The 17,370-nt window shown below is 45.1% G+C and overlaps 2 protein-coding genes across 31 annotated transcripts in view, besides 4 other annotated features; one reads left to right on the forward strand and one right to left on the reverse strand.

Moving 5' to 3' along the window:
* KIF27 (kinesin family member 27) overlaps positions 1-1,941 on the reverse strand; it is an 87,334-nt gene extending 85,393 nt beyond the window's left edge. For 8 of the 30 annotated variants that reach the window (NM_001354071.2, XM_047423578.1, XM_047423577.1 and 5 more), the window contains exons 1-2: positions 1,880-1,941; positions 615-721 (exon numbers count right to left, since the gene is read on the reverse strand). The gene's annotated coding sequence lies outside the window, so the exon portion shown is untranslated. Of the gene's footprint in view, positions 1-614; positions 722-1,281 lie in introns of all 30 variants that reach the window. The other 22 variants (XR_007061328.1, XM_017014903.2, XM_017014905.2 and 19 more) reach the window with 9 other exon arrangements.
* LOC105376335 (serine/arginine repetitive matrix protein 1-like) lies at positions 1,410-5,394 on the forward strand. The gene is made up of 3 exons (XM_011519284.2): positions 1,410-1,770; positions 1,863-2,207; positions 5,175-5,394. Exons 1-3 carry the CDS (start codon positions 1,410-1,412, stop codon positions 5,309-5,311), a joined length of 843 nt encoding a protein of 280 aa, XP_011517586.1. The 3' UTR covers positions 5,312-5,394.
* Positions 1,473-2,222: an enhancer, noted in NCBI's record as "H3K27ac hESC enhancer chr9:86535879-86536628 (GRCh37/hg19 assembly coordinates)". NCBI's record gives its function as "activates a minimal SCP1, AML or CMV promoter by ChIP-STARR-seq in naive H9 embryonic stem cells {active_cell/tissue: H9 hESC(naive)}" and the evidence as "EXISTENCE:reporter gene assay evidence [ECO:0000049][PMID:30033119]".
* Positions 1,544-1,923: a silencer, noted in NCBI's record as "silent region_19979". NCBI's record gives its function as "represses an Ori minimal core promoter by ATAC-STARR-seq in GM12878 lymphoblastoid cells {active_cell/tissue: GM12878}" and the evidence as "EXISTENCE:reporter gene assay evidence [ECO:0000049][PMID:35858748]".
* Positions 1,954-2,103: a silencer, noted in NCBI's record as "silent region_19980". NCBI's record gives its function as "represses an Ori minimal core promoter by ATAC-STARR-seq in GM12878 lymphoblastoid cells {active_cell/tissue: GM12878}" and the evidence as "EXISTENCE:reporter gene assay evidence [ECO:0000049][PMID:35858748]".
* Positions 2,837-3,341: an enhancer, noted in NCBI's record as "H3K4me1 hESC enhancer chr9:86537243-86537747 (GRCh37/hg19 assembly coordinates)". NCBI's record gives its function as "activates a minimal SCP1, AML or CMV promoter by ChIP-STARR-seq in naive H9 embryonic stem cells {active_cell/tissue: H9 hESC(naive)}" and the evidence as "EXISTENCE:reporter gene assay evidence [ECO:0000049][PMID:30033119]".
* Positions 5,395-17,370: the final 11,976 nt, after the last annotated feature.

Here is a 17,370-nt window from a genome sequence, read left to right on the forward strand (position 1 = left end):
TGCTGAGTCTTGAAGATTACCATTAAGTAACACAGACAACTAGACTGAAATAATATTTTATTAATAACACTAACAACAATGAATTGATAATATTCACTACCCTTGAAAAAAAAAAAACCATGGCCCAGCACGGTGGTTCACATCTGTAATCCCAGCACTTTGGGAGGCCAGGGCGGGTGGATCACTTGAGCCCAGGAGTTCGAGACCAGCCTGGGCAACATGGAGAAACCCTGTCTCTACTAAAAATACAAAAATTAGGCAGGCATGGTGGCGTGCGCCTGTAATCCCAGCTACTCAGAAGGCTGAAGCGAGAGGATCCCTCCTGAAAACAAAACAAAACAAATGTGAGCCACGATGCCCAGCCTCATTTCTTGGGGTTTTTAATGGTAATATCTATAAAGAATTTGGTTATAAAGGCAACTGAAACTTATTCTAAGCATTAAAAAAAATAATAATGGGGCCGGGCACAGTGGTTCACACCTGTAATCCCAGCACTTTGGGAGGCCAAGGCAGGTGGATCGCTTCAGCCCACGAGTTCCAGACCAGCCTGGGCAACATGGTGAAACCCTGTCTCTACTAAAAATACAAGAATGTGCCAGGCTGTGGTGACGCACCTGTAGTCCCAGCTACTTGGGAGGCTGAGATTGGAGGATCGCTTGAGCCCGGGAGGTTGAGGCTGCAGTGTGCCACTGCACTCCAGCCTGAGTAACAGAGCGAGACCCTGTCTCAAAACAAAACAAACAAACAATAGTAATGGTCCACAAACATAGGGCTTGTAAAACATCAATATACAAGAAATAAAGTTTTTACACAATCCATAGCACTTATACTTCAGATTCTGATCAATTATAGTCATCAGAAACATACGTATTATGTTGCCAATAAATGATTTAAAAAAAAGCAAAATCTGATTGGTCGTATTTAAGTATACTCAACGGGTTTTTGAAATCTGAGCAAAGGCAAGAGAAATATTGAATCCCTCATGTCATGTCACTGGTCAGGAATGAGTGTCTCCAAAAACCGTTGCCATCCCGTACCCTTGATTTCCCAGAAAGCAGTGGTTGTCTTAAATGTGTGGTTTGTTAATTATTTTCATAAAAAACTTGCCAGTAGATGGACAGTAAATCGCATACGGAGCTCAGAAAAGGCCCCAAATGCGTAAAGACGACAAAAGAGTAAAGAAGGGCAAACAACAAGGATTTTCAACACTGGAGACTTAAAAGGTGTTACTTAAAAGGTGTTTCAAAGAAAGAATCTGGGCGCTTTGCTCTTTATAGTCACCTGCCTCCGAGGGAGGGAGCTCTCGGGCTTGAATGTGCCCAAGGTTCAACCTCTACGGTAGGAAATGCGCCCAAGTTTCAACCTCTACGGTGGGAAATGCGCCCAAGTTTCAACCTCTACGGTGGGAAATGCGCCCAAGTTTCAACCTCTACGGTGGGAAAAAGACGCCTGCGATAAAACAAAGCGCTCGGTGGTGGTGGCCCTCGCGTCGCACCTCACGCCGTGCAGCGACACGAGACGAACACAGGGTGCGCTCTGAAAGGCCGGGTCCCGCGTTCCGGTCGATCGGTGTTCCCCGGGACCCGCTCCTCAGGGCTGACCCAACTTCCTCCGGAAGGGGCGCTCTGCCTCTAGTCGCTCGCCGGCTCCCAGCCCCGACCCCAGACCCCTCGGACGCCCCCATAGGCCTAGCTGGCGCCCCAACCGCCCACCCTCCGCTACCCACCCGCGGCGGCCCCGACCCCAAGCCGGAGCCTACTAGTCCCAACGGCCGGCTGGGGGCGCGGGAGCGGCGGGCGCGGCGGGCTGGAGGGCGGGCACCGCGAAGGGAGGGCGCCCCACTTCCCCGCACCGCCCGCCAGGCCCGCCGAGCACTGACCGGCTCGGGACAGCCCAGGCCCCTGTCGGCGAGCGCTGGACTCCTCAGCTTCGCTCTGCCACACCGCGCAGCCGCCGTCCGCGTCTTTTGTTGTCGCGAGTTCTCCTGGCAACCGGCGAAGCCCGCCTCCCGCCGCGTCCTCTCCTGGATGCCGCGTCCTGGCCCCGCCCCCATCCTGGCCACGCCTCCAAGCCCGCCGCGCAGGAGTCCTGCGTCCCCAGGAAGTCCGCAAAGGGCCGGCCCCTGGGCTTGCCTGCAAATCCGAGTTGTGTCCCACCAACGCGCTGGGACCGGTCTGTGAGGCCTGAGCGCAAGCATCTTTCTACGGGTTCGTGAAATGAGTGAGAACGATTCCACACCGTGTTTCAATATCTTAGCTACCAATTCAGTTTATTTTTATTTTTATTGAGTAAAACTTGCCTAACATAAACCATCTTAAAACTCACAATTCAGTGGCGTTTAATGCATTCACAGTGTTGTGCAACCATCACCTCTGTATATAGTTCAGAAACATTTTCATAACCCCAAAAGAAAATCCCCAAACCAGTTAGCAGTCATTCCTTCTGGTTCCCCTCTCCCCACAACCCCAGCCAGCCACTAATCTACTTTCTGACTCTGTGATAGCTTTACCTATTCTGGGCATTTCTTTATTGATGGAATCATTCAGTATATGACCTTTTGTGTCTAGCTTCTTTTGCTTAATGTTTTCAAGATGCAGTCATGTTGTAACATCTATCAGGACTTCTTTTCTTTTTTTTCTTTTCTTTTTTTTGAGACCGAGTCGCGCTCTGTCGCCCAAGCTGGAGTGCAGTGGCGTGATCTCGGCTCTCTGCAACCTCCACCTCCCGGGTTCAAGCGATTCTCCTGCCTTAGCCTCCCGAGTAGCTGGGATTACAGGCGCGTGCCACCACGCCCGGCTAATTTTTTGTATTTTTAGTAGAGACGGGGTTTGTTTCACTGTGTTAGCCAGGATGGTCTTGATCTCCTGACCTCGTGATCTGCCCGCCTCGGCCTTCCAAAGTGCTGGGATTACAGGCGTGAGCCACCACGCCCGGCCCTTTAGATGGAGTTTCGCTCTTATTGCCCAGGCTGGAATGCAATGGCGCCATCTAGGCTCAACGCAACCTCCACCTCATGGGTTCAAGCGATTCTCCTGCCTCAGCCTCCGGAGTAGCTGGGATTACAGGCATGAGCCACCCTGCCCGGCCCTATCAGGACTTTTTAGGGCTGAAAAAATTCCATTGTATGGATATAGACATACCACATTTTGTTTATCCATTCTTCAGCTGGTGGTGGACATTTGGGCTGTTTCCATGCTGCTATGGACATTCACATACAATATTTGGATGTCTGTTTTCAGTTCCTTTTTTTTTTTTGAGATGGAGTCTCGCTCTGTTGCCCAGGCTGGAGTGCAGTGGCGCTATCTCAACTCACTGCAAGCTCCGCCTCATGGGTTCAAGCAATTCTCCTGCCTCAGCCTCTGGAGTAGCTGGGATTACAGGCATGTGCCACCACCACGCCTGGCTAAGTTTTCTGTATTTTTAGTAGAGACGGGGTTTCACCATGTTGGTCAGGCTGGGCTCGAACTCCCGACCTCAGGTGATCCGCCCACCTTGGCCTCCCAAAGTGCTGGGATTATAGGCGTGAGCCACCGCGCCGAGCCTGTTTTCAGGTCTTTTAGGTATGGACGTAAGAGTGGAATTGCTGGGTCGTATGGTAATATTTAACTTTACCAATTTAGTTTTAAATGCTTTAATGCCTCCTGTTTTTAGTAGCACAATCTAAGCATCTTCAAAAACCCTTCCTTCTCTCATGAAATATAGGAATGAAGGTGGGGGAAAAAAGCTGACTATTTTATTTATAGTTTTTATTTTTTTTTCTTTTAACTGAATTATTTAAAATTTTAAAAATTCAGTCTGGGCACAGTGGCTCACACCTGTAATCTCAGCACTTTGGGAGGCTGAACTGGGAGGGTCACTTGAGCCCAGGAGTTTGAGACCAGCCTGGGCAACATAATGAGACCCCCCATCCCTACAAAAAATCAAAACTTAGCCAGGTGTGGCTGAGTATGCCTGCAGTTCCAGTTACTCTGGAGGTGGAGGTGAGAGAATGGTTTGAGCCTGGGAGGTCAAGGCTGCAGTGAGCTGTTGTTGCACCATGGCATTGCAGCCTGGGTGACAGAATGAGACTCTACCTCAAAAAAATAATAAATAATACATAATTTTTAAAATTCTAAGATTTCATTTATACACATACCTGTGTATTGAGTCATGATGTCAAGGGAATGTCTGATAGTGGCTCAGTATCAATCAAATGCGAAAGCCAGTGTCCTGGGCTTGCTTTTCAGATTGGGGTGATGGATTATTTCCTAGTCTTCCAAGGTTCCCCTCATGATTGGTGGAGATTGTGGTTGCCCAATTTGACTATAGGGCCAAGTTGCATTTTTAGAACTCTTTGAAAACAAACAAAAACTCACATCATGACTGTGAATTGGTAAGTCAGACTGGTCTGCTGACAAAACTTCAATAATTAATAGTACGTAACAATTTAAGTCTAGGAATACCCAGAAGTCTCAACAGAAGTTCTCAAGAGGCCACACAATTGCAGAGAGGAGGTCAGCAAATGCCCAACAGCATTAGAATGGGGCATTTTCCATTGTCCCCAAATTGATGTCTTGAGTCCAGAGTTAGAGAAAAGGAGTTACTTAAGTTCCCCACACTGTGAAGTGAATGCCAGTCATTGCCAACCCCTCCTCCCTAGGATTTATAGCAGGACTAAGCTAATTCCATTCAAATTCCAATCCTATCTCTTTTTTAAGTATCTGTAAGAAAGACTCGGCAGTGGAGTCAAGGGGTCTTGGGCCTTGTGGGTTGGAGAGTAAGAGGCCTCCCACCTAAGTCAAAGGAGGCTCTAAGAGTGACGGGCAAACCCTGTGTGATGTGCTAGAAGAGGAAACCTGGCCTTCTGGTGGGAGCAACTAGGGGAAGAAGTGAGCTGATCTTCTTCTCAAGAATGGAGCGAAGCAACTGAGATGTTGCTGTAGTAGAGCAGTCTGTGTTCCTGCAGTTTAGCAGGGGGAGAAGCTGTGATTTGCTCATGGTCCAGGGGATCCTTTGGAGGGTACCCAAGCTTGAGCCCCATGAAGATTGTCTTGAGGACTGTCTCCTGCAGATAAGTCCCCATCAGTAAGAGGCAGTGGGAGGAGCTGGGCTTGGGATTAGCAGAAGTAATTGAGCCAGTGCTGGATCTTCTTAAGGGAACTAGGTCTTCTCCTTAAGGGAACTGTATCTTTCAGGTCCACTGAAGAACTCTGCATATGTCCCATGGGAGACCAGCTTTGGGCTGCTTGTCCTACAGAGAAAAACATCCATGCCCAGTCCACTTTACCAGAAAAGCAGTAACAAACAGAAGATTACAGCTAGACCAAATTAAATAAAGAAATATGTGCCCTTTTCGCCTAAATCATCTTCCCTCACCCATATTTTGAGAAAAGCTGGATCCAGGAAAGAAAGGAAGTATTAAAGGAAGTATTAAGGAAACCACAGATCATACCTCTTCTCCCACTTTAAATTCTTTTAATGTTGCTATAATGTTTGATGAATTCCCTTAATTTCTCTGGCGGGGAGAAAAGAAGCTTTATACTTTAAAAATGGGGTTTCTTTAAAAATGGGGGTGGGCGGTGGTGCACGCCTGTAATCCCAGCACTTTGGGAGGCTGAGGCGGGCGGATCATGAGGTCAGGAGTTCGAGACCAGCCTGGCCAACATAGTGAAACCCCGTCTCTGCTAAAAATACAAAAATTAGCCGGGCATGGTGGCATGGCCCTGTAGTCCCAGCTACTCAGGAGGCTGAGGTGGGAGAATCGCTTGAACCCAGGAGGCGGAGATTGCAGTGACCCGAGACCATGCCATTGCACTCCAGCCTGGGTGACAGAGTGAGACTCCGTCTGAGAAAAAAAAAGGGGGAGGGGTGGTTTCTGTGCCATCATTTTGCCTTTGGCTCCTTAACTTAGTGCAGAGAATGTTAGCTTTCCTAAGGAAACATACTGCTTGGGTCCTGTCAACTGGTGCCAGGTGGATTTGCTTGGCCCTATGGTCAAATTGGGCAACCACAATCTCCACCAATCATGAGGGGAACCTTGGAAGACTAGGAAATAATCCATCACCCCAATCTGAAAAGCAAGCCCAGGACACTGGCTTTCGAATTTGATTGATACTGAGCCACTATCAGAAATTCCCTTGACATCATGACTCAATACACAGGTATGTGTATAAATGAAAACAAGGCCAGGCACAGTGGCTCATGCCTGTAATCCCAGCACTTTGGGAGGCCAAGGCAGGTGGATCACTTGAGGTCAGGAGTTCGAGACCAGCCTGGCCAACATGGTGAAACCCCTCTCTACTAAAAATACAAAAATTAGCCGGGTGTGGTGGTGCGTGCCTGTAGTCCCAGCTACTCGGGAGGCTGAGGCAGAAGAATCACTTGAAACCGGGAGGCAGAGGTTGCAGTGAGCCAAAATCATGCCACTGCACTCCAGCCTGGGAAACAGAGCGAGAGTCCGTCTCAAAAAAAAATAAATAAAATAATAAAAATAAAAATACAAAAATTAGCTGGGTGTGGTGGCACGAGCCTGTAATCCCAGCTACTCGGGAGGCTGAGGCAGGAGAATCACTTGAATCCTGGAGGCAGAGGTTGCAGTGAGCCGAGATTGCACCACTGTACCCCAGCCTGGCGACAGAGCGAGACTCCATCTCAATAAATAAATAAATAAATAAATAAATAAATAATAAATAAATGAATGAAAACAAAAGTTTTGGGAAACAATACTTACCTTTACTAAGTGCAATGTTCTATGTATTTTATTTTATTCTATTCTACTTTTCTTTTTTTTAGAGACAGGATCTTGCTATGTTGACCAGACTGGTCTCGAACTCCTGGCCTCAAGTGATCCTCCCATCTCAGCCTCCCAAAGTGCTGGAATTACAGGAGTGAGCCACCATGCCTGGCCCTATTCTACTTCAATTTTTTTTTTTTTTTTGAGACAAGGTCTCACTCTGTCACCCTGGCTGAGTACAGTGGTGCAATCATGACTCACTGCAGCCTCAACCTTCCAGGCTCAAGCAATCCTCCCACCTCAGCCTCCCAAGTATCTGGGAATACAGGCACCGGCCACCATGCTCAGCTAATTTTTTATTTTTTTGTAGAGATGGATTCTTGCTGTGTTGCCCAGGCTGGTCTTGAACTCCTAGCCTCAAGTGATCCTGCTGCCCTGGCCTCCCAAAATGCTGGGATTACAGGCATGAGCAACCATACCCAGCCCAATTTTTCTTAATGTTGATTACAACCCTTTAAATTGATTTCATGACCTACTAATGGATTGCAGCCTGCAATTTGAAATATTCTGGTCTAAGGTAACAATCTGGCTGAAAATGGATGAAAAATGACATTTTCATCTACTAAACACTATTATACACCTATTACCTTATTTATCTATTGCTGAACTATTTCTTCAGATCTTAGTGGCTTAAAACAAATTTCTTGGCCGGGCTCGGTGGCTCATACCTGTAATCTCAGCACTTTGGGAGGCCGAGGTGGGCGGATCACAAGGTCAGGAGTTCAAGACCATCCTGGCCAACATGGTGAAACCCCGTCTCTACTACAAATACAAAAATTAGCTGGGTGTGGTGGCAGATGCCTGTAATCCCAGCTACTTGGGAGGCTGAGGCAGATAATTGCTTGAACCCCGGAGGCGGAGGTTGCAGTGAGCCAAGTTTGCACCACTGCACTCCAGCCTGGCAACAGAGCAGGACTCCATCTCAAAAAAAAAAAAAAAAATTCTTATGTCGTAGCTTCTATAGGTCAGAAATCTGAGCATGGGTTAGCTAGATCCTCTGCTTCAGGGCTGTCACAAGGTTGCAATCAAGGTGTCAGTCAGGGCCACGAACATTTCAGGGTCAACTGGCAGAATCTGTTTCCAAGCTTCTATAGTGTTTGGTGGTAGTTCTTGAGGGTTGTTGGACTGAGGGACACATTCCTGCTGGCTATTAGCCAGAGGCTGCCCTCAGTTCCTTCCCCTTAGTTCCTTGAACAGGTGGCCCTCTGCATCACATTGAGCATGTAAGATGAGCCATGGAAAGAAAATCAGCAAAAGAGAAGTCAGAGTCACTTATAACTTGATTGTAGACAGGATATCCCATCACCTTTGCCACATTCTGTTCATTAGAAGCAAGTCACTGGGTCTATCCCACATTCAGGAGACAGGTTGCATGAAAGTATGAATACTAGGAGGCAGGATTCATTGGAGGCTACCTTTATTTCCTCCCCGCCTCCACCCCATTCCCTATTCTAATCACCAAATTCTGCTTGTTTTACATCTGAATATTTCAAATCCTTTCTACTCTAGTTCAAGATTTCACAATCACTCACCTAGACTACTGCAACAGCCTACCAACTAGTCCCCCTGTCTCCAGTCTTGCACTTACAAATCCACCCTCCACACCTTCTACACTGATCTATCTAGGACATGAATCTCACTGTCTGTCCTTTGCCTAAAGCCTTCCTGTGATGGCATGGAGAATACTATTCCTTAACAGCTGGAATGGGAAATCTATATGTGGACAGACAAAGTTTTGCTGAGAAGATGCTTTGCTAGCCTGCCCCTAGGTGGAAGATAAGCCTTGGAAGCCTGATTTGGTTGGTACCCAAGCTTCAGAGAGGAGGGTGGTGTTGCTCATATGAGACAAGGGGAAGAATTATTTGACTGCTCTTGAGAAGGAATGAGGAAGATGGGGGAAGGGGGTGGTGTTGGGAGAAGCTGAAGCAGAGAGGAGGCAGAGAATAACTGATAAGGGAATCCCAGGGACACTGGGAATGGCTAACGGAGGCATTTATTGATTGATTGACTGAGACAGAGTCTCGCTCTGTCACCCAGGCTGGAGTGCAATGGCACAATCTCAGCTCACTGCAACCTCTGCCTCCCGGTTTCAAGCGATTCTGCCACCTCAGCCTCCTGAGTAGCTGGGATTACAGGCAAGCGCCTCCACTCCTGGCTAATTTTTGTATTTTTAATAGAGACGGGGTATCACCATGTTGGTCAGGCTAGTCTCGAACTCCTGACCTCATGATCTGCCTGCCTCGGCCTCCCAAAGTGCTGGGATTCCAGGCGTGAAACACCGCGCCCACCCAGTGGTGGCCTTTATGTTCCTGCTGTGAAGTGTGCAATTCAAACCCCTTCCTCTGTCTCCCCTGCAAAATCTTCAATGATGTCTGCATTGCTAACTTACACATTTGTCCAGTCTGGTGCTGGACAAAACCATAGGTTGACCATGTGGACCTAGAAGGCAGAAGATTAGAAGAAAGCCAAAGGTGTAGTGGGTCATTTCTGCAATCCCAGCACTTTGGGAGGCCGAGGCAGTAGGATCAGTTGAGGACAGGAGTTCAAGACCAGCCTGGGCAACACAGTGTGAATCCCTTCTCAAAAAAAAAAAAAAAAAAAAGAAAAAGAAGAAAGAAAGAAAGAAAGAAAGAAAGAAAGAAAGAAAAGAAAGAAAGAAAGAAAGAAAGAAAGAAAGAAAGAAAGAAAGAAAGAAAGAGAAAGAAAGAAAGAAAAAAAAAAAAAAAAAAACAATTAGTTGGGCATAGTGGCTTGCACCTGTAGTGCCAGCTACCTAGGAGGCTAAGGCAGAAGAATTGCTTGAGCCCAAGCGTGGGAGGCTGCTGTGAGCTATGATTGAGCCACTGTACTCCAGCCTGAGTGACAGAGCAAGACCCTGTCTGTAAAATAAAATAATTTTTAAGACTAAAATAAAAAATCATAAGATGTAAAAATTTTCAACAAAATTCACTAAAATGATAACCACCATCATCTCTGGATGGTGGAGTTAAACGTTATGACTTTTTTAAAAGACAAGGTCTTACTCTGTTGTCCAGGCTGGAGTGTAGTGGTTTGATCACAGGTCATTGTAACCTTGAACTCCTGGACTCAAATGGTCCTCCCACTTCAGCCTCCAGAGTAGCTAGGATACAGGTGCACACCACCATGCCTGGCTAATATTTTATTTTTTTTTGTATTTGTTTTTTGTTTGTTTGTTTTTGTTTTTTTGAGACAGAGTTTCACTCTTGTCACCCAGGCTGGAATGCAATGGCATGATCTCAGCTCACTGCAACCTCCACCTCCTGGGTTCAAGTGATTCTCCTGCCTCAGCCTCCTGAGTAGCTGGGGTTATAGGCCCCCGCCACCATGCCCAGTATTTTTAGTAGAGATGGGGTTTTGGCATGTTGGCCAGGCTGGTCTCAAACTCCTGACCTCAGGATACACCTGCCTCGGCCTTCCAAAGTTCTGGGATTGCAGGCGTGAGCCACTGCGCCCGGTCTAATTGAATTTTTTGTAGAGATAGGGTCACTCTATGTTGCCTGGGCTGGTATTGAACTCCTGGTCTCAAGCCTTCCTTCCCACCTTGGCCTCCCAGAGTGCTGGGATTAGAGGTGTGATTCACTGTGCCCAACCTGTTATTTATCTTTATATCTCTATTGTTTGTTTGTTTGTTTGTTTGTTTGAGACGGAGTCTTGCTGTGTCACCCAGGCTGGAGCGCAGTGGCACAATCTCAGCTCGCTGCAAGCTCCGCCTCCCGGGTTCACGCCATTCTCCTGCCTCAGCCTCCCAAGTAGCTGGGACTACAGGCACCCACCACCACGCCCAGCTAATGTTTTTGTATTTTTAGTAGAGATGGGGTTTCACCGTGTTAGCCAGGATGGTCTCGATCTCCTGACCTCGTGATCTGCCCACCTCGGCCTCCCAAAGTGCTGGTATTACAGGCGTGAGCCACTGCGCCCGGCCTTATGTCTCTATTGTTGAGCACAGTCAATGTCTAATACATAATAGATAATAAGCACATCCCAGAGAGTCAATGAATGTTTATGGAAATAAAAAAATTTAAAAACAGAAAACAAGTAACTTGCTCAAGCCTACATGGTTAAGTGACAAAGGCAAGACTGAAGCTTCCATCTGTCAGATGACAAAGTCAACACACCTCCCCAGAGGCTGAGCTGAGCAGAGCTGCAGTATTCTATATAATGAATCTCAAGTTTTGTTGTTTGTGTTACAGCTGATTGGCTGCAATCAGGATCCAAACATGGACCATATATGGCATTTGATTGATATGTACCTTAATTCTCTTTTAATCAATAACAATTACCCTCACCTTTAAAAAAATTGTGGTAAAATGTACATAACATAAAATTGACTATCTTAACACTACTGAGCTGTACACTTTAAAATTGTTAAGTACTGGCTGGGTGTGGTGGCTCACACTGTAATCCCAGCACTTTGGGAGGCCGAGGCGGGTGGATCACCTGAGGTCAGGAGTTCAAGACTATGTGGCCAAAATGGCGAAACCCCATCTCTACTAAAAATACAAAATTAGCTGGACATGGTGGCGCATGTCTGTAATCCCAGCTACTCAGGAGGCTGAAGGCAGGAGAATCACTTGAACCTGGGAGACGGAGGTTGCAGTGAGCCGAGATCATGCCACCGCACTCCGGCCTGGGCGACAGAGCAAGATTCCATCTCAAAAATACATACATACATACATGCATACATACATACATAAAATGGTTAAGTACCTTCACATTGTTGTACAGCCAATATCCAGAACTCATTTCATCTTGGAGAACTGAAACTCTACACCCGTTAAACAATAACTCACTATTTCCTTCTTTCTCTGACCCCTGGCAGCCACCATGCTACTTTCTGTCTCTATGGATTTGACTATTCTAGGTTATAGAAGTGGAATCATAGAGTATTAGTCCTTTTGTGACTATTTCACATAGTATGATGTCCTCAAGTTTCATCCATGTTGTTACATATATCAGAATTTCCTTTCTTTTTGAGGCTGAATTAATATTCCATTGTATGTATGTATCACAAATTGTTTATCCATTCATCCACTGTTGGTCCCTTGGGTTGCTTCCACCTTTTGGCTATTGTTAATTATGCTGCTGTGAACATGTATGCATAAATATCTCTTTGAGAAACTTTCAGTTTTGGGGATTATTGCTATGGATTGAATGCTTGTGTTCCCCAAAATTCATGTTGAAACTCTAAATCCCAATGTGATAGTATTTACAGGTAGGGCCTTTAGGAGGTAATTAGATTTAGATGAGGTCATGAGGGTTGAACCCCATGATGGAATTAGTGTCCTTTTAAGAAGTGGAAGAGGCCGGGTGTGGTGGCTCTTGCCTGTAATCCCAGCACTTTGGGAGGCTGACGCGGGAAGATGGCTTGAGGCCAGGAGTTTGAGACAAGCCTGGGCAACAAGGGGAGACCCTGTCTTTACAAACTATTTACAAACTGGCTGATTGTGGTAGCATGTGCCTGTAGTCCTAGCTACTTGGGAGGCTGAGGGTGAGAGGATCAATTGAGCCCAGAAGGTTGAGGCCACAGTGAACTGTGACCATGCCACTGTATTCCAGCCTGGGTGACAGAGCGAGACCCAGTCTTAAAAGAAGAAAGAGACAGACAGAGAGAGAAGGAAAGAAAGAAAGAAGAGAAAGAAGGAGAGAAAGAAAGAAAGAAAGAAAGAAAGAAAGAAAGAAAGAAAGGAAAGAAAGAAAGAAAGAAAGAAAGAAAGAAAGAAAGAAAGAAAGAAAGAAAGCAAGCAAGCAAGCAAGCTGCTATTTGTCCTATAGGATTTCTCACACTTTAGAATTGGCTGATCATATACTGTATTTTCATTTAACTTGTTCCTCTGTTTCCTACATTTCCTGTTAACCAGTAAGTTAGATCTAGATTCTTGATTAGATTCAGGTTCAATTCTTCTGGCAAGAATAATTCATAGATGGGCATATGTACTTCCTGTTGCAACACACCAGGAGGCATGTAATGTCTGCATATCCTGCTTTTGGTGATGTTAAGATTATAGATGAGTACAGATATTTTTCAGTATAATCCATCCATTAAAAAGTTCCTCATCGGCTGGGCATGGTGGCTCATGCCTGTAATCCCAGCACCTTGGGAGGCCAAGGCGGGTGGATCACTTGAGGTCAGGAGTTCGAAACCAGCCTGGCCAACATGGTGAAACCCCATCTCTACTAAAAATACAAAAATTAGCCAGGTGTGGTGGCACATGTCTGTAGTCCCAGCTACTCAGGAGACTGAGACAAGAGAATTGCTTAAACCTGGGAGGCGGAGGTTGCAGTGAGCCGAGATGGCACCACACTGCACTTCCAGCCTAGGCAACAGAAGGAGACTCTGTCTGGGAAAAAAAAAAAAAAAAAAAAAGTTCCTCATTAACATTTTACCTAGAAGCCATTGAGGATCATTTCCCATATCTATTATTTCGTTAGGGATTGCACAATGGTAATGTTCTAATATTCCTTTTTGCATTTATTAGCTGGTATTGTTCTATAAAGAAGAGCTTTTCCTCTATCAGATTATCCTGAAATGCAGTTAGTACAGGAATAACAGAATAAATGCTTTTTTCCTTTTTATTTACCAATTTTCAGAATTACAAATTGGTCCCTACCAACCTTCAAAATCAAACAATACGGTTTCTTTTTTTGGAGCACGTGTGTGGTAGAAGGAGGGTAACTATGAACTCATAGTTTTTTTTATATTTTTTTACTTGCTTTCAAAATACTATTTTTGGTTCTCAAAGTATTTCTAGGCTTCTCTCTAAATACCATTGTGACCTATTTGTTTCTTCTCACTTTGACTCAGGCTTCGTCAAAGTTATTGAGCCTTGGCTGGGCACAATGGCTCATGCTTTGGGAGGCTGAGGCAGGAGGATTACTTGAGGTCAGGAGTTCGAGACCAGCCTGGGCAACCTAGTGAGACTCTATCTCTACAAAAAATAAAAATTAGCCAGGCATGGTGGTGCACGCCTGTAATCCCAGCTACTTGGGAGATTGAGGTGGGGGAATTGCTTGAGCCCAGGAGGTTGAGGCTGCAGTGAGCAGTGATCAAACCACTGCACTCCAGCTTAGGTGACAGAGTGAGACGCTGCCTCTAAAAAACAAAGCAACACTTTTTTTTTTTTTGAGATGGAGTCTCGCTTTGTCACCCAGTCTGGAGTGCAGTGGCGCAATCTCGGCTCACTGCAAGCTCTGCCTCCCAGGTTCACGCCATTCTCCTGCCTCAACCTCACAAGTAGCTGGGACTACAGGTGCCCGCCACCACGCCCAGCTAATTTTTTGTATTTTTAGTAGAGACAGGTTTCACCGTGTTAGCCAGGATGGTCTTGATCTCCTGACCTTGTGATCCTCCTGCCTCGGCCTCCCAAAGTGCTGGGATTACAGGCGTGAGCCACCACGCCCGGCCAAAGCAACATGTTTATGTTTTTTTAAAAAAGGAACAAAGCTGTTGAGCCTTAATAATTGCATTCTACTCCTGCAACCAAATACAGGTTAGTATTCTATATCAACTGACTCTTAGTCTATCTTGAGAGTGGCAAAATGGGAATGGCGAAGAAAGGGAGAGAATTCCTAGGTTTGTCCTGTCTCCAGACAGGAAGTTGGATTAGTGCTTTCTTTTCCTTTTCCTTTTTTTTTTTTCTTTTGAGACATAGTCTGGCTCTATTGCGCAGGCTGGAGTGCTGGAGTGCAATGATGCAATCTCAGCTTGCTGCAACCTCTGTCTCCCAGGTTCAAGTGATTCTCCTGATCTCAGCCAAGATCGTACCATTGCACTCCAGCTTGGGCAACAAGAGTGACATTCCATCTCAAAAAAAAAAGAAAGAAAAGAAAAGAAATATGAGGTATGGTCTTTGTGCATTTTAATCCCTAGACTGTAACTAGTTACATGATCATGGCTAAAGCCAGCTCTATCCCTGGGCTTATTTTGTTGATCACTACAATTGCTTTTTCACTATGCTAGTTTTAGTTTGATTTATTTCATTTAAAACTAAAACATCCTTAACCCAAAGGGATAAAAGAAAGGAAAAGATACACAGTGTATGGAAAAAAGAGAAATTTAGATGAATGGCACAATAATATATTTCTCCAAACTTCCAATTGTTTAATCAATAAATTGTATACCTGCAAGGAATTTTACAAATTACAGGCATGCATCACATAACAATGATTTGGTCACCCATGAACTGCATACACCATAGTATATGGTATCCCATGAGATTATCCCATCCCAGTGGGACAAGACCAGACACAGACCCTTCAATTCCTCATTCTTTTTTACAATTTTTTTTTTTTTTTCCGTAGAGACGGGGTCTTGCTATGTTGCCTAGGCTGGTCTTGAACACCTGGGCTCAAGTAATCCTCCTGTGTGGGCCTCTCAAAGTGGTGGGATTACAGATGTGCATCACCATGCTCAGCCCAATTCCTCATTCTTTGTCTCTCTATTAGAACTCTTTGTCCACCTAAAACCAGCATGACACAGAGATAAATATTTCCTGTTTGGCAACTGACTGAGACTTCTGATTGCAAAACAATCCCACATGTAAGTCCTCCACCTGTAACTTGTATACTCCTCTCTATAAAAGTCTAAGGCAAAACCACCCTGCCAAGAGACTCTGATCTTTGGATTTGGAGTGCTTTTCCTATTGTAATAGCCTGAATAGATCAATTCCCTTACTTGTTTAGGTTTTGTATTTGACTATAGCACCCACCAAAAAGCTGGAAATTTTAAACTAAAGCAAAAAACAGCACACCTCGAGAAAGACGGGTCACAGAGTTGCAAGGAAAAGGAAGGTCTAGTTGCCTCAAAGCTGATCCCCTAGGTCATATACAGTCATTAAATCCGCATCTGGGGCAGACTGGGGTGCCAGCCTGACTAAGCCATTATCCATTCAGCTTCAGGGGAGGGGACACTGTGAGGAAGCTCAATACATGATTTCTGAATTGAATGAAACAAAATCTATTAATTTGCCTTGGTGCTAATTAGGGAGAAGTTTAAGGTTGATAAAGGAAAAAAAGCAGCCCCTGATAAAAAGCTGGCCTGGCACCCACAGCTATACCAGTTAGTCTTCTGTTGGACATAATCACTTTCCTAGCCTTCTTGGCAGTTAGTTGTGGTCACGTGACTAAATCCTAGTAAGATGAAACCAAAGTGGAATGTGGTGGCTACCAAAGCCTTTCTTGTCAACCCTTTGTTTTTTTCTTTCTTTCTTTCTTTTTTTTTTTTTTTAGAGACTGGATCAGAAAGGTTACTCAGAGACCATGATAAAGTAAGACTAAATAAGGCCACTTCAGAATTTTGCCTAACCACAGAAAAATACAAGGGCATCGTGCCGTACAAAGTACCCAAACATCCTATCTCCACTAAAATGAGTGACTGCTGACTTCTTTACCAATGACAGCTTTATCCTTACTCTTGTCTGCCCTCCCTATAGAAAAAATTTGAGGCAGTCAATGGTAGAGCAGCCAATAGTATAACTGATCCTGCTTTCTGAGAGTATCCAATCTCAACAGAACAGTTTCCTTAGACCCTGCCCCAAATAATCCTCCTACTGAGTCACCCCATGCTACAAGTAATAAATCTAACCTGTTTACTTTGGTTGGAAAGCATTGACAAGGTGCCTTGGCTAAACAACTTGAGTTCATAGAGTGAGGCAAATCATTAGGAGGCCTCTGAAGAAAAATAATTGAAATTTGTTTACAAAACAAAATATTTTATAACTGATGGCAAATCAAAGGCTACTAAAGGAAACTGAGTCACCAAAGAATTAGAAAAGACTTCTCTGAATGGAGGACTGTGCCAGGGAGTTTCAGGAGGCTGTGCACATTTTCATTACCTTTAAAAGGGTGTGCAGAATGAATCAACACAACTGAAAACACTTTCAGAACTTAATTCTACATTCCATTCTCTTCTGGAACGTCAGGAGCTAGCCCCATGTTAATTATGTTCCCCCAGACTACCCTGAAATCCAAGAGGGATGTTATCTCCACACAAATCCCCAAAAACCAAAAATGTTAGAACTAGAACACTACCATTTTGCAATCCCTAATGAAATAATAGATCTGAAAAATAATCATCCATGGCTGTTAAAGCCATTAGGCAAAATGTTATTTTAATGCTCTTAGTCTGTATCAGGTAAGAAAACTATAAAATCCACTTAATGGGTGGCAAAAACTTCTTGCTGTTTCCCAGTATCCACCCATACTTTTTTTTTTTCTCGAGACTGGGTCTCACTCTGTTGCCCAGGTTGAAGTGCAGTGGTGATCATTGCTCACTGCAGCCTCGACCTCCTGGGCTCAAGCGATCATCCCGCCTTTGGCTTCCCAAAGTGCTGGGATTATAGGAATGAGCCATTGTGCCCAGGCCCATCCATACTCTCTACACAGTTTAGCTGGTATCCAATGCCCATAATACATGCCACTTTCCTAGCCTTCTTGGCAGTTAGTTGTGGTCACGTGACTAAATTCTAGTAAGATGAAACCAAAATGGAATGTGGTGGCTACTAGAGCCTTTCTTGTCAACTCTTTTTGTTTCTTCCTTATTTTTTTTTAAGAGACTGGATCTCGCTACATTGCCCAGGCTG

Source organism: Homo sapiens, chromosome 9, assembly GCF_000001405.40.
Source record: "Homo sapiens chromosome 9, GRCh38.p14 Primary Assembly".
Lineage (NCBI taxonomy): Eukaryota > Metazoa > Chordata > Mammalia > Primates > Hominidae > Homo > Homo sapiens.

Bases quoted from the DNA above. Each gene is read 5' to 3' on its own strand.
- LOC105376335 (XM_011519284.2), top strand. From the start codon at position 1,410: ATGCGCCCAAGTTTCAACCTCTACGGTGGGAAAAAGACGCCTGCGATA. The intron at 1,771-1,862 runs GCCGGCTGGGGG...ACCGCCCGCCAG, and splicing joins GGAGCCTACTAGTCCCAACG to GCCCGCCGAGCACTGACCGG. The intron at 2,208-5,174 runs GTTCGTGAAATG...TGTATCTTTCAG, and splicing joins GCGCAAGCATCTTTCTACGG to GTCCACTGAAGAACTCTGCA.